General features: G+C 43.4%; 1 protein-coding gene across 4 annotated transcripts in view; it reads left to right on the forward strand.

Annotated features, from left to right (window-relative positions):
• The window catches only part of ABRAXAS2 (abraxas 2, BRISC complex subunit), a 34,849-nt gene that overhangs the window by 3,086 nt on the left and 8,521 nt on the right, over window positions 1–23,242 (forward strand). Inside the window, exons 2-5 of one of the 4 annotated variants that reach the window (NM_032182.4) lie at window positions 1,927–2,017; window positions 11,672–11,708; window positions 14,480–14,546; window positions 21,691–21,881. In NM_032182.4, the coding sequence (NP_115558.3) occupies window positions 1,927–2,017; window positions 11,672–11,708; window positions 14,480–14,546; window positions 21,691–21,881 (386 nt within the window). Of the gene's footprint in view, window positions 1–1,926; window positions 2,018–8,295; window positions 8,661–11,671; window positions 11,709–14,479; window positions 14,547–21,690; window positions 21,882–23,242 lie in introns of those variants that run through there. The other 3 variants (XM_047424888.1, XM_047424891.1, XM_047424889.1) reach the window with 3 other exon arrangements.

The raw sequence follows: 23,242 nt of genomic DNA on the forward strand, positions 1-23,242 counted from the left end.
GGTTTCTCCATGTTGGCCAGGCTGGTCTCAAACTCCTGACCTCAGGCAGTCCACCCACCTTGGCCTCCCAAAGTGCTGGGATTACAAGCAAGAGCCACCGTGCCCGGCCTATGTATTTCCTAAGTTTAAGAAATGCTTTGTGATTATTTGGTATTTTAGGACACTCCCCCTCCTCAAATCAAATACAAAAACTAGGCTGTAAAGTGTCTGTCTTGTCAGGAGATCGAGACCATCCTGGCTAACAAGGTGAAACCCCGTCTCTACTAAAAATACAAAAAATTAGCCGGGCGCGGTGGCGGGCGCCTGTAGTCCCAGCTACTCGGGAGGCTGAGGCAGGAGAATGGCGTGAACCCCGGGAGGCGGAGCTTGCAGTGAGCCGAGATTGCGCCACTGCAGTCCGCAGTCCGGCCTGGGCGACAGAGCGAGACTCCGTCTCAAAAAAAAAAAAAAAAAGTGTCTGTCTTTCCCCACTCCCATAGATTCTCACTTTAAACTGGAAATGTTTTTAAACAGGAAACTTCATTAATTGATTTGAAGGATCAACTTAGAATAGAAGGATATATCGTACAAGGGCATTGTTTCAACAAATTTATTCAACCACTGTTAGTGAGGCACCTACTAAGTGTTAGGCATTGTGCTGGGTGCTGAGATAGAGCAGTGAATAAGCACACAGTCCCTGCTCTCGTGGAGTTTACATTCTGGCAAGGGATAATAAATGTATTTATTTATAAATATGTAATATGATGGATAGTGAGAAGACCAAGAAGAAAAAGAATGTAAGGTAAAGGGGGCAGAGTGCCTGGCAGATGCTATTTCCATTAAGTTGGTCAGGCAAGGCCTCTCCGCTAAGGTGCCATTTGAGTAAAGACCTGAATGAAGGAAAGGAGTAAGCCGTGTGATATCTGGGGAGAGAGATTCCAGGACAGCTTCTCAGTTCAACCCTCTGTATAGGAAAGTTACTTTAGGATTTAGAGTATGTCTTCTCCCAGCTGTGCTTGTGCAGAACATGGCGCAAGTACACAAAGAGTAGGTAATGAGCCAATCAACTGTGGTGGTAAATGCCCTCCAAAAGTGTAAATAAGTTAACCCCTGCATTTATTAAAGAAAAAGGTTCGGCTGGGCACGATGGCTCACGCCTGTAATCCCAGCACTTTGGGAGGCCCAGGTGGGCGGATCACGAGGTCAGGAGATCGAGACCATCCTGGCTAACACGGTGAAACCCCGTCTCTACTAAAATACAAAAAAAAAAAAATTAGCCAGGCATGGTGGCGGGTGCCTGTAGTCCCAGCTACTCAGGAGGCTGAGACAGGAGAATGGCATGAACCCGGAAGGTGGAGCTTGCAGTTAGCAGAGATCGCGCCACTGCACTCCAGCCTGGGTGACAGAGCAAGATTCCGTCTCAAAAAAAAAAGAAAAAAAAAAAGACAAGAAAAAGGTTCATGTGGATGATAGGGAATTTAATTGTTTTGCTAAAATCCTAATTTTCTATGCCAGCCTGTATAAAAGCATTTAGTTGTCATTGTGTTACCTTTATCTTTTCATCATCAGCGATGTTTTTACAACAACAAAATAAATTGTATGTGATTTCAAGAAAGCAACTTTGAAATATTTCTACTTCTTGAGTTTTTTGACATTGGTTATGATACTTAAGATTTAGGTGATGAAATTCACTCTTCCAAAAACAGGGAGGAGTTGAAGGGATTAAAATAATATTTTATCTTGTTATCCTTTTTTGGAACAATCCAATTAATAGATATACCTCAGATTGCTTTAGACTGTTTGTTGGTTTATAGAATAGTGGTTTACATGGGAAGCTTGTTTGGATTATTGTGAAAATTATAAATTTATATGTCCTCAATTCCTCTTAATTTCAGTAAAAGTCATTTTTATTTTTAGTCTGCAATTATTTTCTTTAATTACTTTTAGGAAGGATTTTTACTGGGAGAGGTAAGACAAGAGGAAACGTTTAGCATCAGTGACTCACAAATCAGCAACACAGAATTTCTGCAAGTAATTGGTAAGTAAATTTCTCAATGACCTTAGAAATATCTTTTTTGTATATTTACTTAATGTTTGTTTTGTTGTTTTGCCCTTAACTGATTTTATCCTAAAGAATTCAAAGAGTATGCCAGGCGCGGTGGCTCACGCCTGTAATCCCAGCACTTTGGGAGGCCGAGGCGGGCGGATCACGAGGTCAGGAGATCGAGACCATCCTGGCTAACACAGTGAAACCTCATCTCTACTAAAAATACAAAAAAATTAGCCGGGCATGGTGGCGGACGCCTGTAGTCCCAGCTACTCAGGAGGCTGAGGCAGGAGAATGGCATGAACCTGGGAGGCGGAGGTTGCAGTGAGCCGAGATCGCGCCACTGCACTCCAGCCTGGGGGACAGAGCAAGACTCTGTCTCAAAAAAAAAAAAAAAAAAAAAAAGAATTCAAAGAGTATGTAGAAAAAAACGAAAATAAGGCCGGCCATGGTGGCTCATGCCTGTAATCCCAGCACTTTGGGAGGCTGAGGCAGGTGGATCACCTGAAGTCAGAAGTTCGAGACCAGCCTGGCCCACATGGTGAAACCCCGTCTCTACTAAAAATACAAAAATTAGCCGGGCGTGGTGGCGGGTGCCTGTAATCCCAGCTACTCAGGATGCTGAGGCAGGAGAATCGCCTGAACCCGGGAGGCGGAGGTTGCAGTGAGCCAAGATCTTGTCTCAAAAAGAAAGAAAAAAACTAAAATTATTTGCACTAATAAATGATATGAAATGTTTTTATGTCAGTATAAAGTCAGAGAAAACAGAATGTCTAGCTATAAGTATGGGTCTTCTATAAAGTATTCCTTACCCACCAATGGGGGTGACTTTCACTGAATTGCTGTGTGACCACTTGATTGATAGTCTCTTTAAAACCACCATGAACCTCAAGTTTGCAAATCAGGCTCTCCCCATTGCCAATATCACCTCATACTATAACGAATTCATATATTGTGCTGGTCCTTCCTAAAGGGATCCAGCAAGGATATTTACATTTGTTTACATGGGATATTTACTAAACCTATACAGCCTTCTGAGGGATAAGCCAAATACCCACTTCGGAGGAGATATCTGGGGAAGATGAAGGAGTCTTTATAGCTATAGACACGCCCACTCTCTTTGGATCAGCCTCCTTTTGATAAATAGAGGTCATAGTCCTTTCAGGTACACTTCAGGCAGATCACCAAACTGCATATCCTAATACTCTGAACAAAGCAAGGAACTTTTCATTTATTTATGCGGCAAACTTTTTTTTTTTTTTTGAGACGGAGTCTTGCTCTGTCGCCCAGGCTAGAGTGCAGTGGCACGATCTCGGCTCACTGCAAGCTCCGCCTCCCGGGTTCAGGCCATTCTCCTGCCTCAGCCTCCCGAGTAGCTGGGACTACAGGTGCCTGCAACCACGCCCGGCTAATTTTTTTGTATTTTTAGTAGAGACGGGTTTTCACCGTGTTAGCCAGGACGGTCTTGATCTCCTGACCTCGTGATCCGCCCACCTCAGCCTCCCAAACTGCTGGGATTACAGGCGTGAGCCACCGTGCCTGGCTATGCGGCAAACATTTATTGAAGAACTTTCATATGTGAGGCGTGTGCTGGGCAGTGAAGGAAATACCCAGAATCATCCCTGCCTCCTAGAGCTGCGGGGAGGATTAGACAGGCAGGAAGAAATACCAGACAGTGCGAGAAGAATTCTATAAGAAAGTAACAGAGAAAATCCCCGAACTGCCCAAAGTTGAGAGGAAAACTGCTAGTGGAGAAATCAGTAAAGATGTGTGTCAGGAGGTAAACTTAATGGGCAGTACATTCAGGGGAGCACAGAACGAGGTCTGCATAAAACACATAGCGAATCTGGCCTGTTCATATGACTAAAATACAGAATATGTGGAGATGAGTGGTTTGTGGTTTGAAATACTGTTGGCTAGCGGGGTGCAGTGGCTCATGCCTGTAATCCCAGCACTTTGGGAGGCCAAGTTGGGCGGATCGCCCGAGGTTGGGAGTTCAAGACCAGCCTGACCAACATGAAGAAACCCCGTCTCTACTAAAAATACAAAAATTAGCCGGGTGTGGTGGCACATGCCTGTAATCCCAGCTACTCGGGAGGCTGAGGCAGGAGAATCGCTTGAACCTGGGAGGCGGAGGTTGTGGTGAGCTGAGATTGTGCCATTCCACTCCAGCCTGGGCAACAAGAGCGAAACTCTGTCTCAAAAAAGAAAAAAGAAAAAGAAAAAAAGAAAAGAAAAATGAAGAAATACTGTTGGCAAGTGGCAACTTTGGTCATGTTGGGAGCAAATAATTAATTTCAAGCCTGTTCTGATAGGCTTCTAGTATGTGGGGTAGGGGACAAGGGTGTTTTATTTATTTATTTATTCATTTATTTTTGAGATGCAGTCTGGCTCTGTTGCCCAGGCTGGAGGGCAGTGGCGTCAGCTCACTGCAACCTCCGCATCCCGGGTTCAAGCGATTCTCCTGCCTCAGCCTCCCGAGTAGCTGGGATTACAGGTGCATGCCACCATGCCCGGCTAATTTTTGTATTTTTAGTAGAGACGGGGGTTTCTCCATGTTGGTCGGGCTAGTCTCGAACTCGTGGCCTCAGGTGATCCACCCGCTTTGGCCTCCCAAAGTGCTGGGATTACAGGTGTGAGCCACCACGCCTGGCCCCAAGGGTGTGTATTGAAGTTAGGTCAGGATTAAGGGGAATCAAGAGGCTGAACTACCTCCTAATGCAGGCTTGTCCAACCCACGGCCTGTAGGGTGCATGCAGCCCATGGCAGCTTTGAATGAGGCCCAACACAAATTGGTAAACTTTCTTCAAACATTATGAGATTTTTTTTTTTTTTTTTTGAGACCGAGTTTCACTCTTGTTTCCCAGGCTGGAGTGCAATGGCACGATCTTGGTTCACCACAACCTCCACCTCCCGGGTTCAAGCGATTCTCCTGCCTCAGCCTCCCTAGTAGCTGTGAATACAGGCATGCGCCACCATGCCCGGCTAATTTTTGTATTTTTAGTAGAGACGGGGTTTCTCCATGTTGGTCAGGCTGGTCTCGAACTCTCGACCTCAGGTGATCCGCCCACCTTGGCCTCCCAAAGTGCTGCGATTGCAGGCATGAGTCACCACGCCCAGCCATTATGATATTTTTTTGAAATTTTTTTTAAGCTCATCAGCTAGTGTTAGTATATTTTATGTGTGGACCAAGACAATTCTTCTTCCAATGTGGCCCAGGGAAGCCAAAAGATTGGATACTCCTGCCCTGGTGGATCAAAACTATAAAACCCACTCACCACATTATAGACTTATTTACTAAGTAAAGGTTTGAAACTGGGTGCAGTGGCTCATACCTGTAATCCCAACACTTCGGGAGGCCGAGGCAGGAGGATGGCTTGAGGCCGGGAGTTCAAGACCAGCCTGGGCAAGGTGGCGAGACCCTGTCTCTACAAGAAATTTTTATAATTAGCCAGGCGTGGTGTTGTGCTTCTGTAGTCCTAGCTACTCAGAAAGCGAGGTGGGAGGATTGCTTGAGCCCGAAAGTTTGAGGCTACAGTGAACCGTGATCATACCAGTTCACTCCAGGCTGAGCAACAGAGCAAGATCTCATCTTAAAAGAAAAAAGACTTGCGATGTGTAAGACGGTATAGTTAGTCTTTCGTCGAGGATGTTTTTGGTTTTTTTTTTTTGAGATGGAGTCTCCCTCTGTCACCAGGCTGGAGTGCAGTGGTGCAATCTCAGCTCACTGCAGCCTCCACCTCCTGGGTTCGAGTGATTGTCCTGCTTCAGCCTCCCGAGTAGGTGGAACTACAGGTGCACGCCACCACTCCCAGCTAATTTTTGTATTTTTAGTAGAGATGGGGTTTCACCATGTTGGCCAGGATGGTCTCGATCTCTTGACCTTGTGATCCATCCGCCTTGGCCTCCCAAAGTGCTGGGATTACAGGCGTGAGCGACCACGCTGGCCCATCTAGGGTGTTTTTATTTTTCTTTTCGTTTTGCTTAATTCTTTAAAACCCTAAAACAGCCGGGCGTGGTGGCTCACGCCTGTAATCCCAGCACTTTGGGAGGCCGAGGTGGGTGGATCACGAGGTCAGGAGATCGAGACCATCCTGGCTAACATGGTGAAACCCCGTCTCTACTAAAAATACAAAAAATTAGCCGGACAGGCGCCTGTAGTCCCAGCTATGCGGGAGGCTGAGGCAGGAGAATGACGTGAACCCGGGATGCGGAGGTTTCAGTGAACTGAGATCTGCGCCACTGCACTCCAGCCTGGGCGACAGAGCAAGACTCCATCTCAAAAAAATAAATAAATAAATAAAATCCTAAAACAGAATTTTGTTTCATAGAACATCTGTGCAGTTATTTATTGTATGCACCTGAGTTTTCAAGCATAATCTGGAAGATGAAGGTTAAATTGCCACCTGCAGTTAACGGACAGCAAACCATGAAAGAAAGACCTCTCTTACCTGGCATGATCACAAAAATAGCACTTCTGATTAATACTCTGGCTGTTTATTTTTAAAGAAATAGGGCCGGGCACGGTGGCTTAAGCCTGTAATCCCAGCACTTTGGGAGGCCGAGGTGGGCAGATCACGAGGTCAGGAGAGGTCAGGAGATTGAGACCATCCTAGCTAACACGGTGAAACTCCGTCTCTACTAAAAGATATAAAAAATTAGCTGGGTATGGTGACACGGGTCTGTAATCCCAGCTACTCAGGAGGCTGAGGCAGGAGAATGGCATGAACCTGGGAGGCGGAGCTTGCAGTGAGCAGAGATTGTGCCACTGCACTCCAGCCTGGGCGACAGAGCTAGACTCCGTCTCAAAAAAAAAGAAACATAATAAAACATAATTAATTTTGTTTTGTTTTGTTTTGTTTGAGACGGAGTTTCGCTTTTGTTGCCCAGGCTGGAATGCAATGGCGCACAATCTTGGCTCACCGCAACCTCCGCTTCCCAGGTTCAAGTGATTCTCCTGCCTCAGCCTCCCAAGTAGCTGGGGTTACAGGCATGCACCACCATGACCCGCTAATTTTGTATTTTTAGGAGAGACGGGGTTTCTCCATGTTGGTTAGGCTGGTCTTGAACTCCCGACCTTGGGTGATCCGCCCACCTTGGCCTCCCAAAGTGCTGGGATTACAGGCGTAAGCCACCACACCCAGCCCAAATAATTAAAATTCTATATAACATAAAGTACTGATTCTTTGATTCATAAACCATCTGCCTCTTGCAGTAAATACCTGTTTTCATGGTTTTGTAGATATGGAGAAGTAACAATCAGTGGGGAGTCCCTGTTAGTACAGGGCCATGACAACTATCTTTTGCTGTACAATCTTTAACTTATTAGCGATGTTCAGTTCATTGAAACGATTATGGACCTCATGGACAAAACGTTTACTAGTATTATCTTAAATGTGTTGTTCCCATTGTAACATTTTTCTTTTAAAAATAAATATAGCTGGGTGAGGTGGCTCACACCTGTAAAGCTTTCAAAGGCCGTGGTAGGAGGATTGCTTGAGGCCAGGAGTTCAAGACCGGCTTGGACAATATAGCGAGACCCTGTCTCTACAAAATAAAAAAATTAGCTAGGCATGGTGGCACACACCTGTAGTCTCAGCTACTTGGGAGGCTGTGGTGGGAGGATCACTTGAGCCTAGGAGATTGAGGCTACAGTGAACTGTGATCATGCCACTGCACTCCAGCCTGGGTGATAGAGCAAGACCTTGTCTCAAAAATAAATAAATAAATACACATTTGAAAGCATAAACTGGGAACTTTGGAAAACCCGGGTTGAAAAGTCAAACATTAGGAAAAGTGCATTGAGTAGTATTCACTACCAGTTGTATAAAGAGATTTTCTGGCATAGCTTACCCTCCAGAATAACAATGTTTTAAATACCATAAATTGACCAAATTTATTATTTGATGAGAATGTCTGACTCCATGCACAGACACCTTTCCATTACTCTTTGCAATAAGGAAGACTCAATATAGAATATCACATTTTGGGCTGGGCGTGGTGGCTCATGCCTGTAATCCCAGCACTTTGGGAGGCCAAGGCAGGCAGATCACCTGAGGTCAGGAGTTCGAGACCAGCCTGGCCAACATGGTGAAACCCCATCTCTACTAAAAGTACAAAATTAGCCAGGCGAGGTGGTGCACGCCTGTAATCCCAGCTACTTGGGAGGCTGAAGTACGAGAATCGCTTGAATGTGGGAGGCGGAGGTTGCAGTGAGTCGAGATCGTGCCACTGCACTCCAGCCTGGGCGACAAAGCGAGACTCCATCTCAACAACAACAAAAAAGAATATCACATTTTGAACATGAAATGTCTGCATCTTGTTTTGAATATGTATGAATTGAAAAAGCTGTGCTAACTCACTTGAAGCAGAGCTGTCTACCCTTAGTTCTAGGAGTAGCAGGGAGAAGGCAGCAACAGAAGTGTCCTTAGTTAATGAGGTGATGCAGTAACAAGTATTGGAAAGAATGAAAGCAGGAAGGAGAAGAAATGTTCAACGCACCCAACAGAAAGAGAAGCAAGAACAACAGTACCACACAGCAGGGATTTGTAAAGAAATGTGTGCCGAGAGGCGATGTGTACATGAGCAGGTGTCTACTGTGTTGTTGAGGCACAAGAAACTCTGGAAATTCCAGGTGAGGCTGCCCAGCCCCTGCCTGCTTCCAGAGGTTTACCTGTCAGTTAAGGTGTCCTCCAAGTTCATTTCGATCTGCAGCTTTTTCATGTTTGAGATCATCACCCTGTTTTTCCATGAGTGCTTAGTATTGCAAAACATCTTAGAAAGCTTTAACTTCCTTCAAAAAGTACCACACAGTATCTATAGAATGTCTTTAGCGTGCTTCTAATCCAGTTTGTAAATTTGAAAGAAACTGCTTTGGTAACAGTGCACATTCAGAGTTCAGAACTTACTCCAGGAATTTCATTAAATGACAGTTCTTTAAAGTAGAAGATGAGTTTTTCTTTTCCCTGAACTCTAGGTAATATTTTTGCAACAAAGATTCTGCATCCTAATTACTAACAGTATCTCTGGAATAACTTATGATGGTATACTTTATCATTTTTATTTATTTATTTATTTTGAGATCGAGTTTCACTTTTGTTGCCCAGGCTGGAGTGCAATGGCACAATCTTGACTCACTGCAACCTCTGCCTCCCAGTTTCAAGCGGTTCTCCTGCCTCAGTCCCGCAAGTAGCTGGGATTACAGGCATGCGCCACCATGCCCGGCTAATTTTGTATTTTTAGTAGAGATGGGGTTTCACCTTTTGGTCAGGCTGGTCTCAAACTCCTGACCTCAGGTGATCCAACCTCCTCGGCCTCCCAAAGTGCTGGGATTAGAGGCATGAGCCACCACGCCCGGCCTCTATCATTTTTAGTGATAAAAAGAAGGAAATATTACTAGGTGAGGTTTTATTTGTACTTTTTTTTGCTTTTGTTTTTGAGACCGAGTCTCACTCTGTTGCCCAGGCTAGAGTGCAATGGTGTGATCTCGGCTCACTGCAACCTCCGCCTCCTGGGTTCAAGTGATTCTCCCACACCTCAGCCTCCCAAGTAGCTGGGATTACAGGTACCCACCATCATGCCCGACTCATTTTTGTATTTTTGTTTTCACCATATTGGCCAGGCTGGTCTTGAACCCCTAACCTCAGGTGATCCACCCGCCTTGGCCTCCCGAAGTGCTGGGATTACAGGTGTGAGCTACTGCACCTGGCCTTTATTTATTTATTTATTTATATTTTTGAGACAGAGTCTTGCTCTGTCATTCAGGCTGGGGTGTAGCGACATGATCTTGGCTCACTGCAACCTCTGCCTCCTGGGTTCAAGCAGTTCTGCCTCAGCCTCCCGAGTAGCTGGGATTACAGGCGCGCGCCACCACACCCAGCTAATTTTTGTATTTTTAGTAGACATGGGATTTCACCATGTTAGCCAGGCTGGTCTCAAACTCCTGACCTCGTGATCCGCCCACCTCAGCCTCCCAAAGTGCTGGGATTACAGGTGTGCACCACTGTGCCCGGCTTTAATTTATTTTTATAAGACTAGTCAAGTGCAGTAGTGAGAAGGGGGAAAGAGTAGAACAAGGGTTTAGTCTGTAACCATAAACAATCAATTGAGATAACTCTACCTGCAGACCAACCAAGGTAAGGTTTATCTTACTGCATAGCTAGGCAAGTGAACTTTTCTTTCCTGTGGAAATACTTCATTTTGACAACATTAACACAAGTACAGAAGCTACTGGGCCTAGTCCCATGTCCTTGAAGGCTATGGTTCCTTTTTTTTTTTTAATTGAGACGGAGTCTCGCACTGTCACCCAGGCTGGAGTGCAGTGGCGCGATCTGGGTTCACTGCAAGCTCCACCTCCCGGGTTCACGCCATTCTTTTGCCTCAGCCTCCCAAGTAGCTGGGACTACAGGCGCCCACCAACACGCCTGGCTAATTTTTTGTATTTTTGGTGGAGACGAGGTTTCACCGTGTTAGCCAGGATGGTCTCGATCTCCTGACCTCGCAATCCACCCACCTTGGCCTCCCAAAGTGCTGGGACTACAGGCGTGAGCCACTGCGCCCGGCCTGTGGTTTCCTTTTAATTGAGTTAAAATTACAGCCTGGAACTCTGAGGCTGTGGTTTTTTAAATAACGGGTGATGAGCTGCTCTCTAGGAGAATGTGATTAATATAACTGAATGGTCAATTAGTTTCATGGTCTTATAAAGAAACCCAGACCCTAAGCCCCTGGATGAGCTCAAAGAAATTGTTCGCTCTGCTTAATCACAGCAACTTTTCAGAAGCTTTTACGATCTACCCTGTAATGATTGTTTCCCTTGGTACTGACCATCTTTGAAAGGGTTAATAGACTTCCAGAGTTCCTTCCTCTTCAAAACACCTGGCCCAAGTTGTCATGAGTTATTACTGGTTATTAATGGTAGGGTGAGGGTGGTTAAGGCCCTCTGTCCCCAAGCTGTCCTCGCAGCTTTTTTTTTTTTTTTTTTTTTTTAATATGAGACAGAGTTTCGCTCTGTTGCCCAGGCTGGAGTGCAGTGGCGCGATCTCTGCTCACTGCAGCCTCAGCCTCCCGGGTTCAAGTGATTCTCCTGCCTCAGCCTCCCAAGTAGCTGAGATTACAGGCGCCCGCCACCACGCCCAGCTAATTTTTGTATTTTTAGTAGAGACGGGGTTTCACCATGTTGGCCAGACTGGTCTTGAACTCCTGACCTAGTGATCTGTCCGCCTCAGCTTCCCAAAGTGCTGGGATTACAGGCGTGAGCCACTGCGACCTGCCTATCCTCACAGCTTTTATCCCACTTGATTAAATGCTTCCAGTCAGTGGTTGCTTTTTCCCATGATGCTTTTTTAAATAGATAAGATTGAATAAGGTACACAATAGCTGCGTATTCCTAAATAATATCTTTCAGAAATGTGCTCATCATACATGGACAGATAGAAATAGAACTTTCATTCTGTAGTCTCTTTTATTCTGAGAGTGTGTCACTGAGGGTGAGTATTCAGACTGGTGTACATGTAGCAACTGTTTGGCAGAGGGAAAAGCTGTCTTTGTTGTCAGAGATTTTGATTAAAAAAAAAAGTCCTGAGCTATTTTATAGTTGCCTATGTCTTACATGATTAACTAAGATGTATTTCCTCTTTCTAATTACAGAAATCCATAACCATCAGCCTTGTTCAAAACTTTTTAGGTAAGCCATATGTAAGCTTTTAGTCCTTACTAAAAGGATTGATTGATAAAAAAAACTAGTGAATTTTGGCCTGTAGCTGATTGTGGCTGTAAAGTCATGAGGGTACCCAAATCCATGTATTTATTGAGTGCTTTGTACACGGCACTGTGTTAGGTTAGGAAAAGGGAAGGGAAGAGTGTCAATTGTGGGCTTAGTGATTTAGAATGGAAGTATTTCCTCTCAGCCTATCAAGGGCTCTTCAATTATAGAGAAAAAGTTAATCAACATAAAATAATTCAAAGGATGTTCTTAACGAGGAATAAAAAATGTTTTGTGTTCAACTTTAAAAATGTAAGAAAAAGGAGCATAAAACGTTCTTTTTGTGTTTGTTGAAGTGAATACAGTAGTCCCTGCTTATCCTTGGGCAATATGTGGCAAGACTCCAGAAATCGTGGCTAGTACTGAACCCTATCTATATGTACTATGGTTTTTCCTGTATGTACATACCTATCATGAAGTTTCACTTATGAATGAGGCACAGTAAGAGATGATTGAAGTTATGTGAATGTGTCCACTCACTCTCAAACATATTTGAGAGATTGACCAAGGGTAACTGAAACTGGAAAGTGAAACCGCAGACAAGAGGGGGACTACTGTATACACCAATGCCATATTATGACCAACTAAAGGACAGAACGAAAAAGAAATAAAGGGAGAAACGTTCGGAAAGGAGAAAGCATACAACAGAGAGACACCTGGAGGGAAAAGAGTGAGGAAAAGAAAGTCCAGGGTCTCTTACTCACTGGACTTCCCCCCAAACCACCACCAGGCCTATGCCTTCTTTCTCAGCCCCAAACCCTTCCACCTAATGGCTGGGATCACGATTTCAACTCTGTGTTTCATAAAACTCCCCGAGACCCAACTTCTTACCCTTTCCAAAAGCCAGGCCAATGCTTTCCTTCTAGCACTGCCCACACGAATACAATCAGCGTTCTTGATCAGCAGTTCCTTCCGTAACGCCAGCCAGCCCTTTCTGCTTGCCGCTTCCTGCTGTTCCCTGCAGTTTTCACCCTGACCACTCTCCCACTGTCAGCTGGCCCAAACACCTGGCCCCCTTGCACCCAAAAATCCCTGGGGACTTGTGTCATATTCACCCTCGAACATCCACCCGCACCTATTGATTGCTTCAGAGAATTGTCACCATGCAAGATGGCTACCTATAAATGAAGCCATCAGTTGCTGAGAACCTCGCCTCTTTTAGATTTACACATAAGCAAAACAGGAATGGGGAAGCAAGACGAGCAGCCAGCAGTTCGTTTGAGGGGAATCTCAGAGCAAGTGAAATTGTTTAGGCTCTGGTTCACACATTGCTTCTGTCTGGTCTACGAAGGTGTCTGATTTGGTCTTGACTGTCCAAAGCTTCTCTAGGTGTACCCTGCCTCAGCCTTCTCAGGAATTCATTAAAATACTGTCAGCAAAGTAGTACCAGAACAAGGATTTGAGTTTAAAGAATAGACTTAGTTGGCCGGGTGCGGTGGCTCACGCCTGTAATCCCAGCACTTTGGGAGGCCAAAGCAGGTGGATCATGAGGTCAGGAGATCGAGACCATCCTGGTTAACACAGTAAAACCCCGTCTCTACTAAAAATACAAAAAATTAGCCAGGTACGGTGGTGGGTGCCTGTAGTCCCAGCTACTTGGGAGGCTGAGGCAGGAGAATGGCATGAACCTGGGAGGTGGAGCTTGGAGAGAGCCGAGATCGCGCCACTGCACTCCAGCCTGGGTGACAGAGCGAGACTCCATCTCAACAAAAAAAAAAAAAAAAAAGATTAGACTCAGTTATTAGAGCCAAAAGAAACCTTAGATAACATCTGTCTATTCCAAACTCCTTATTTTGCAAAAAATGGAATGGAAACCAGGTGGAGTGACTTGCCCCAGATCATATAGTGAGAAACAGAACTGGAGCTGGAGCTTGTGTCTCTTGCCTTCCAAGTCAGTGGCTTTTTTTGTTTGTTTTTAACCGTATCTTGAACTCCTTTCTGGCTTATAAGGCCCAGGTTTATGGTGGTAGGAAAGAAGTAGAGGTGTGGCTTTCCCAAGCCCATGTCCAGTAGTAGAGGAGGCCCACGCATCATTATACCTGGATGCGCACCACGGGATCCTGGTCATGTTGGTCTCTTTTGGAGGTGATTGTATTAGGTTCGAAGCTAGCCAGACCTGGCTTCAAATTCCAGCCCTTCTGTCTACCAGCCCTGTGATTTGGAGGAAGTCACTTGGCCTTGGTGTGTTTATCTATGAAACTGGGAATAAAACTTGTGGAATTGTTGGGTCAAACTAATACCTCCCAGCACTGAGGCAAGAATGGAATGAAACAACCTGAGAAAGTAGGCAGCCCAATGTCTTCTTCCACATCCCACAAATGTTTACTTCCCTTCTTCATTTCTCAGAAAATGAGCTGCTACGTTATCTTTTTTTCATAAGTAATTGATACCTAGAAACAAAGAAAAATGTCACAGCCATTTGAAACCCCACATTTTATAATTACTTGCTATCAGCACCTCCCACATGTGGAAGTAATATCTTTTGAATGTAGCAATCTCTTGAGTATTCGTCAATGCAAAAGGGGCCTCATTTCAGAAAAACATTTGGACTGATTTCTCTTTATTCACCTGTGTAAACCTGTGTAAGGTGAGAAGTTAGGTCTTCATTAGGGTTACCACAGGCATATGCAGCCAAGCACGTCTATGTCACAATACTATGTGGTGTTAGTACAAGATTTTTTTCTCTTAAACAGTTTTTATGACTACGCAAGCAAAGTGAATGAGGAGAGTTTGGACAGGATTCTTAAAGATCGGAGAAAGGTATGTTCTGTTTGTTGCCCAGTATGATTCTGAAATCGTTCCTTATCACCGAAAAGATAAAACCAGACAGGAATGTAAAATGGAACAATAAGATTTCATGTTAATATGTAAAAGTTTTGTTAACCTACATAGATTTTTTGATGTATTAATAGAAAAAAATTTAGATATTTATAGCATGATACCATTATTATTACATGCCTGTAATACCAGCTACTAAGGAGGCTGAGGAATGAGACTTGCTAGAACCCTGGCGGCAGAGGTTGCAGTGAGCCAAGATTGCACCACTGCACTCCAGCCTGGGAGACAGAGCGAGGCTCCATCTCAACTTAAAAAAAAAAGAAAAAAAAAAAAAGTTGAACACAGGTGTTTTTCCAAAAGGTCATGTATTTATTATTTCTATCAACATTTGCATATGATGTTCTAGTTATGTGTAGACTAGGTAAGCAAGTCTGAATACAACTGAAAATAAACCAAAGTTTTATTGTTGCAGTAGTGTCTAATAATGCCATTGGTAATTTACCGTGTTATACTATGTATGGGTTTTACTTTTTTTACCTTGGGATATTAATTCTATAAAAATAGATCCGTTACTAACCATCTCTTGAGGAAGAAAGTACCAATAAAAGTTTTCAACTTGTCAAACAGAAAACAAAATGCCGTTGTTTAACAGTGTCAGGAGTAAGTGCAGTTATATTAAAACAACAGCCATTCTAATGTACAGGAGCAGGTAAGGATAAAAGGAAGAATAGGAAGTGTGGAAGCATAGGTCAGAAGAAAGGCAAATAGCTTTATGCATGATAGTAAACTCAAGAGGTGCTCCATCCTGGTAGTCTAACCAAGCTGCCTGCCCAACCAGGAAGGGGTGTTAAAGCAGCCACAGGCATCACGTGGTCCAGTGCTCTCATACTAGTGATTTGCCTGGGAGCAGACATTCTGGAATCTCTTAGCAGCCCGTCCCTCATCTCTCAGATGCTACCTTACCTCCTCATTTTTCATATTTTAAATTATGAATCTTCATTATACTTTTTTTTAAAGTTTTTTATTTTTTTGAGATGGAGTCTGGCTCTGTCACCTAGGCTGCGGTGCAGTGGCGCGATCTCGGCTCACTACAAACTCCACCTCCCAGGTTCAAGCAGTTCTTCTGCCTCAGCCTCCTGAGTAGCTGGGACTACAGGGGTGCACCACCACACCTGGCTAATTTTTACATTTTTAGTAGAGACAGGGTTTCACCATGTTGCCCAGGCTGGTCTCGAACTCAAGTGATCCACCTGCCTCGGCCTCCCAAAGTGTTGGGATTACAAGCATGAGCCACCGCAGACGGCCATGAATCTTAATTATACTTTCTAAAACTAAAATTTGTTCTATAAAGATTCTTTTTGGAGCAGAATTTTCTAGAGCACTCACTACATATTAGAAGTACCAGGAAGTATTTTTTAAAAACAGATTTCAAATTTTTATTTTATTTGTATTTATTTATTTTGAGATGGGGGTCTCATGTTTTCCCCCAGGCTGGAGTGCAGTGGCATGATCATGGCTCACTGCAGCCTCGACCTCCCAGGCTCAGGTGATCCTCCCACCTCAGCCCCCCAAGTAGCTGCAACTACAGGTATGCACCACCACACCTGGCTAATTTTTTGTTTTTAGTACAAACGGGGTTTTGCCATGTTGCTCAGGCTGGTCTCAAAGTCCTGGGCTCAAGTGATCTGCCCACCTCGGCCTCCCCAAGTGCTGGGATTACAGGTGTGAGCCACTGCACCTGGCAGATTTCAAAATTTTAAGTGAGAAAAATGAGTAACGACCATGAACAGGAAATTCACAAGAGAAAGAAGAAATCGGCTGGGTGCGGTGGCTCATGCCTGTAATCCCAGCACTTGGGGAGGCGGAGGCAGGTGGGTCACGAGGTCAGGAGATTGAGACCACCCTGGCTAACACGGTGAAACCCTGTCTCTACTAAAAATACAAAAAATTAGCCAGGAGTGGTGGCACGTGCCTCTTGTCCCAGGTACTCAGGAGGCTGAGGCAGGAGAATCGCTTGAACCCGGGAGGCAGAGTTTGCAGTGAGCTGAGATTGCGCCACTGCACACTCCCACCTGGGTGACAGAGCGAGACCCTGCCTTGGAAAAAAAAAAGAAAGAAGAAATCCACAAATGGCCAAGAAACAACTGAAAAGATACTCTACCTCAATCAGGAAACACAAATTGAAACGAGATACTATTTTTTGCCCATAAGATTGGCAAAAGAGTAAAAAGGTTAGTAATACCCAGTGTTGGCAAGGCTGTGGGTAATGGGGAAGCAGTAGTTGGTGGAGTCTAAATTAACACAGAGATTTGGGAGGACAGTTTTGCAATCACCGAAAGAATTTTGAATATTCCATTTCACCTCTAGGAATCTGGCTCAAGAAAATAATTTTACATGGGTTCAACAATACAACAACCTGGAATAACTGAACACTTGAACTCTGTGTGGGGGCATGTTCTGCACGCTTCACGTGTATTGATACATTTAATCCTTGCACCAGACCCGTGAGGCAAATTACTCATTTTATAGTTGAGAAAACTAAGGTTAAATCATTTGCTTAAGGTCATCAGCAATTCATGATGGAGCCATGGTTTAAACCAAGCCGTCCAGCCTCAATCCAGTGCACAAGGATGTTTGTTGTTTGGTTATTTTGTAGGGGGGATTTTGAAAGCAACCTAAATGTCCAGCAGTGGGGAACAGTGAAATCAGTTCTGTTGGCGCTTCCATACTATGGGAGATGAAGCAGTCCTTACAAAGAAGGAGAGAGGTTTTCATGTAATGACATAGAAAGATCTCTAAGTTATGTTACATGAAAAAAAGCAGATTGTAGTTTGAGCCCATTTTATATAACAACAAAAGCCTGAGTGGGTGTTCAAATACACAGGAAACGATCTGAAAGGATGCTAGTCAGACTTGGGAAAGGGAGTGAATAAAGGGTGCAGGTATCTATTGATGAAGGAAGAATTTATTTGATAAGGTTTTTTTTTCTTTTAATGACTATGTATTTTATAATTGAAAATAAATTGAAAACAAAGATTCTACAGCCGGGCTCGGTGGCTCATGCCTGTAATCCCAGCACTTTGGGAGGCCGAGGCAGATGGATCACCTGAGGTCAGGAGTTCAAGACCTGCCTGGCTGACATGGCAAAACCCTGTCTCTACAAAAATACAAAAATTAGCTGGGCATGATGGCGGATGCCTGTAATCCCAGCTACTCGGAAGCCTGAGGCAGGAGAATGGTTTGAACCCGGGAGGTGGAGGTTGCAGTGAGCTGAGATTGCATCATTGCGCTCCAGCCTGGGCGACAGAGCAAGACTCCAACTCAAAAAAAAAAAAAAAAAGACTCTATTATGTAGTCTTTTCACTAGTAGGTAGGGACACATTTGTAAATTAATTTTGGCATTTTTAAGGAGGTTTGCTGTTTGAGACACAGAAGGCCACTCGTTGGTTGCTATCTAGAGTTGACTGCTTTTTCTGCGGCCAAGAGTCTCAAAACAGTTAAAAGTTGGTCTATAGTTTTGATTTTATAGAATTTTGTGCTAAAACAAATGTTCGTGTTCTCCTTTGCAATTAGTGATATGAGTTTGTTGTTTCATTTTACTTGGAAAATATGTTTCATTTCCTTGATATTTGTTGAGAGTGGGAGCTATATATTTCCTTTGGTACCTTATATAAAGTATGAACTCTGTAAGGATTTTTTTCAAAAATCTGAATTTCCAGCACAAAGACAGAGATGATATATAACACTTAGATTTCAAAAAAAAGCTTTATAATTCTTGTTTGGATTTTTTCCCCTAGGATAAGTACAAAATTTTATCATTACCTCAAAAGGGTGGTTATATGACCCACAAGGTACATGTAAAATGTTAGGCTTAAGATAGAGGCTAATGTTTTTGATAAGAAAATCTGCCAGTAGGTACAGTTTGGTCACAGGCTGAATTACTGTTCTGGCAGAATCCATACGTGCTTACAATGTTTGCACAAGCCTCAGGTTTTAGGCTAAGGCCAAACAAAGCAAGTAAGGAGGATTCGTGCTTTCCGGAAGCTCTGAAATTGATAACAGTAACTGAAACAGCCATCCTTGTATCATCATAAGGCCAAAAGAACACAAGCTAAAGACAATAAACGTGCCCATATTGGGATGAAAATGTAAGCAAATGCCTAGCATAGAGAATAGTCTGTGGTCTGTGGATAGAATAGTCTGTGTGAAAAATTGGCCGAGAAACATAAGCAGAGACAAGGTTTTAGGGAAAGATATCCATAATTCTTCATCATGTCCCAAATATAGCTATGCAAAATGTGCTTTTCAACATCAGTGACTTAGTTTCTCAGTAGCTTTGCAACTAGTTTGTTCGTTAGCTCTAAAAGGTAGAATCAAAGATATCACCAATACACATTAATTTGGCATCTCATCCTTCATTGATGAGAATGACAGGAGAATCTGTTTTGTTTTGTTTTGTTTTGTTTTTTGAGACAGAGTCTTGCTCTGTTAGCCACCCTGGTACAATGGCATGATCACAGCTCACTGTAGCCTGGCCCTCCTGGGCTCAAGTGATCCCCCTGCCTCAGCCTCCTGGGTAGCTAGGACCACAGGCGTGTGCTTTTTAAATTTTTTGTAGAGATGGGGTCTTGCTATCTGGCTCAGGCCGGGCTCAAACTCCTGGGCTCAAGTGATCCTCCTGCCTTGGCCTCCCAAAGTGCTTGGATTACAGTAGTGAGTCACCACACCCAGCCAGGAGAATCTATTTAGAACTGTTGGCATCTATCAAATCAATAAGCTGTTATATGCCAGGCACTGTGGCTCACGCCTGTAATGCCAGCACTTTGGGAGGCCGAGGCTGGCAGATCACTGGAGGTCAGCAGTTCGAGACCAGCCTGGCCAACATGGTAAAATCCCATCTTTACTAAAAATGCAGCTGGTTGTGGCAATACACTCCTGTAATCCCAGCTACTTAGGAGGCTGAGGCATGAGAATTGCTTGAACCTAGGAGGTGGAGGTTGCTTGAGCCAAGATCGCGCCACTGCTCTCCAGCCTGGGCCACAGAGCAAGACTCCATCTCAAAAACCAAAAAAAAAAAAAAACAAAACAAAGGCAGCTAGGAAAAAAAATGAAATAAAATAGTTCGAATTGGCATAACTGAAAAGCACTATTAGTCATCCAATAGCCACCTTGCAAGATTCTGCTAGTCAATGAGTATTTCATGAAAACAGCCAGTGTGCTGAGCACTGTTCAGGTCTTTGCAGGAAGGCAGGGGAAGTGCAGGGCATGCCTGAGGTCTGCTGAGTAGGTAATTCCAACATTCCAAGTAGGAGTTGGGTACAGAGTATTGAATCTTAGAATGAAATGTGCTATGTTCACCTGCATCAATAGCTCTATCTAATTGTATCCAAGTTTTCTTGAAAGGAAAACTACTTTTACCTTTTTTATGGCCACCATCATGTCTAGTGTAGAATGTGAAAGTTAGTGTTGCCCAGTGGAAACAGGCAGGCATCTTGATTCCACATCTTGGCTGTCACTCATGAGCTCTGTAACTTCGGACAAAACATCTCTTCTATCAGATTATATACTGAGGCCAGGCACAGTGGCTCAATGCCTGTAATCCCAGCACTTTAGGAGGCTGAGGCGGGTGGATCACTTGAGGTCAGGAGTTCAAGACCCACCTAGCCAACATGGTGAAACCTCATCTCTACTAAAAATAAATTAGCCAGGCGCGGTGGCACATGCCTGTAATACCAGCTGCTCGGGAGGCTGAAGCAGGGGAATCGCTTGAACCCAGGAGGTGGAGGTTGCTGTGAGCCGAGATCATGCCACTGCACTCTAGCCTGAGTGACAAAGCAAGACTCTGTCTCAAAAAAAAAAAAAAAAAAAAAATTATACCCTGAGAGAAAGGCTTGGGTTTTCTTTTTATTTAAGGGATATCAGAATTAATTGCTTTAATCTATGGGAAGATATGTTTTATGTTCAGTAGTACTCCTTAAGTCAGGAACTATTGCTTATTTCTTTGTTCTCTGTAGTTCTTTGCATATGATATGAACTCAATGGAGAAAACATTATTCACTTAGAGTGGTGTAGTAATTAGTGAAAATATTTGTGACAATGCTAGCCTCAGCAAAAGTTGGCTTACTTTCTACATGAAAATGTCAAAACAATCTCAATTTACTATTAATTTTAATTTTAATATGACACTATTAGATTTAAACTACCTTTGCTTCTTAAAACAAGATTTTAACTCAGAGTTGGTTTCAAAGAAGGAAGCTGTATGAAGATTGATCTTCTAATAAAGAATTAAATGTTTTGAAAACAGATGTTTTTAAATTTCAGTATGCAAAAGAAAAATTCAGAAACTTACTTAAATTCAGATTCCTGGCTCTATCTTGAGAGGTTCTGATTCTGCAGATTTGGGTGGGGTCCAGGAATCTGCACTTTAGGGATGGGGTCCAGGAATCTGCACTTTAGCAGTCTTTCAGATATCTCTGAAGTCATCTGTCTTCCTGATGACCAACAAATCACATTATGAGAAGTATTCTTCCAGAGTGCATAACAGTTTCATTAGCCAGTTTAGTTATGCTATAGTTAGAGCTGAAAAAGCTAAACTTTTAAAATAGATTTGTTGAGGTAAAATTGACATATAACACATATCTCAAATGTATGCTCTTAGAAGTTTGATGTATGTGTAAACTTGTGAAACCATCACCATATTAAGATAACGAGCATCTCCTTCACCTACAAAAGCTTCCTCGTGCCTTTCCAGTCCTGCCTTCTCCCCTCATTCCTGTTAACCACTGATCTTCTTTATGTCACTAGATTAGTTTTCATTTTCTAGAATTTTGTACAAATAGAATCCTATAACCTATACTTCTTTTAGTGAGGAGGTGTCTAGCTTCTTTCACTCAGGATAGTTATTTTAGGACTCATTCATGTTCCTTTTTATCACTAAGTAGGATTCCAGCATATGCCTGAAGCACAGTCTGTTTATCCATGCTCCTGCTCATGGACGCTTGGGTTGTTCCAGGGTGGGGCTTTTGCACATAAAGCTACTATGAACATTTGTGCATGTGTGTTTGTATGGATACATTCAGAATTAAATTTGTAAGATTTCATGCAACTTTTCACACTTTTCTTTCAGAAAGTCATTGGGTGGTACAGATTCCGGCGCAATACGCAGCAGCAGATGTCCTACAGAGAGCAGGTTCTTCACAAGCAGCTCACCCGCATCCTCGGCGTGCCCGACCTCGTCTTTCTTCTCTTCAGCTTCATCTCCACTGCCAACAATTCCACTCACGCTTTAGAATATGTGCTCTTCAGACCAAATAGAAGGTAAAGCTTGCTTTTCCATCTGCCTCACATATAAGAAGGACGTTGGGACCAGGCGTGGTGGCTTACGCCTGTAATCCCAGCACTTTGGAAGGCTGAGGCGGATGGATCATGAGGTCAAGAGATTGAGACCATCCTGGCCAACATGGTGAAATTCAAAAATTAGCTGGGTGTGGTGGCACGTGGCTGTATTCCCAGCTACTCGGGAGGCTGAGGCAGAAGAATCGCTTGAACCTGGAGGCAGAGGTTGCAGTGAGCCAAGATTGTGCCACTGCACTCCTGCCTGGCAACAGAGCAAGAATCCATCTCAAAAAAAAAAAAAAAGGATGTTGGTACAAGTCACTGAGATTCGTGACTTCAAAAATGTGCATTATAGTGCATTTTTTTTTTTTTTTGAGACAGAGTCCAGCTCTGTCACTCAGGTTGGAGTGCAGTGGTGCAATCTCGGCTCACTGCAACCTCTGCTTCCCAGGTTCAAGCGATTCTCTTGCCTCAGCCTCTCGAGTAGCTGGGATTACAGGCACACACCACCATGCTGGCTAATTTTTTTGTATTTTTAGTAGAGACGGGGTTTTGCCCATTTTGGCCAGGCTGGTTTTGAACTCCTGACCTCAGGTGATCCACCTGCCTCGGCCTCCCAAAACTTTATGCATCTTTAAATAAAAACTTGTATTATTCCCTTTAGCTCTTTTTGTGGTTACGGAAGGTATTTTTCTTGTCAGTTATTTACATAAAATTGTTTTTGGATCAAGAAGCATTAACAAGACATGTTTATTATGCATAAATTCTTATAAGGAATAAATAGCTGGAAATCATCATTTGCTTCTCCATAATCCACTATGTGGAAATGTAGTTTTATTGCTGTGGAAGTCTGATTATAATTTTGAAACATAAATTTCAAATACAAAATTGTGAAATTGAACCACCTGCTGGTTAACGAGGGTTTTGCATCGTGAACTTGTTAAACCAAAAAAAAAAAAAAACCACCCCTATGATTATATGATCATGTTGTCTGTTTGTAAACAGCAAAATGGTTTCCCTCTGGAAGTTTATTTGTTGTAGAATAAATTAAATTGACATCAGTGAAAATAATTGTTAATTGTTAAAAAGGTTTTTATAAGATTTCATTATGTAATCTGTGGGTATCTCTTGAGCACTTACAGGCTCAGCATTGTGTCAGTCACTGTGAGTATACAAAAGATGTGTAAGGCATGACCTGTGCTCTCAAGGAGTTGATAAGCAAGGTTTTACTTTACAGAAGGGAAAACATCACTAATTCATGTATCCTTGGGTTGTCTGTAGAAGGAGGTGCTCCGTGAGACCTTCCTGTTGGTTTACCAACGTCAGCAACTAAGACTCCTACC

Source organism: Homo sapiens, chromosome 10 (genome assembly GCF_000001405.40).
Source record: "Homo sapiens chromosome 10, GRCh38.p14 Primary Assembly".
Taxonomy (NCBI): Eukaryota; Metazoa; Chordata; class Mammalia; order Primates; family Hominidae; genus Homo; species Homo sapiens.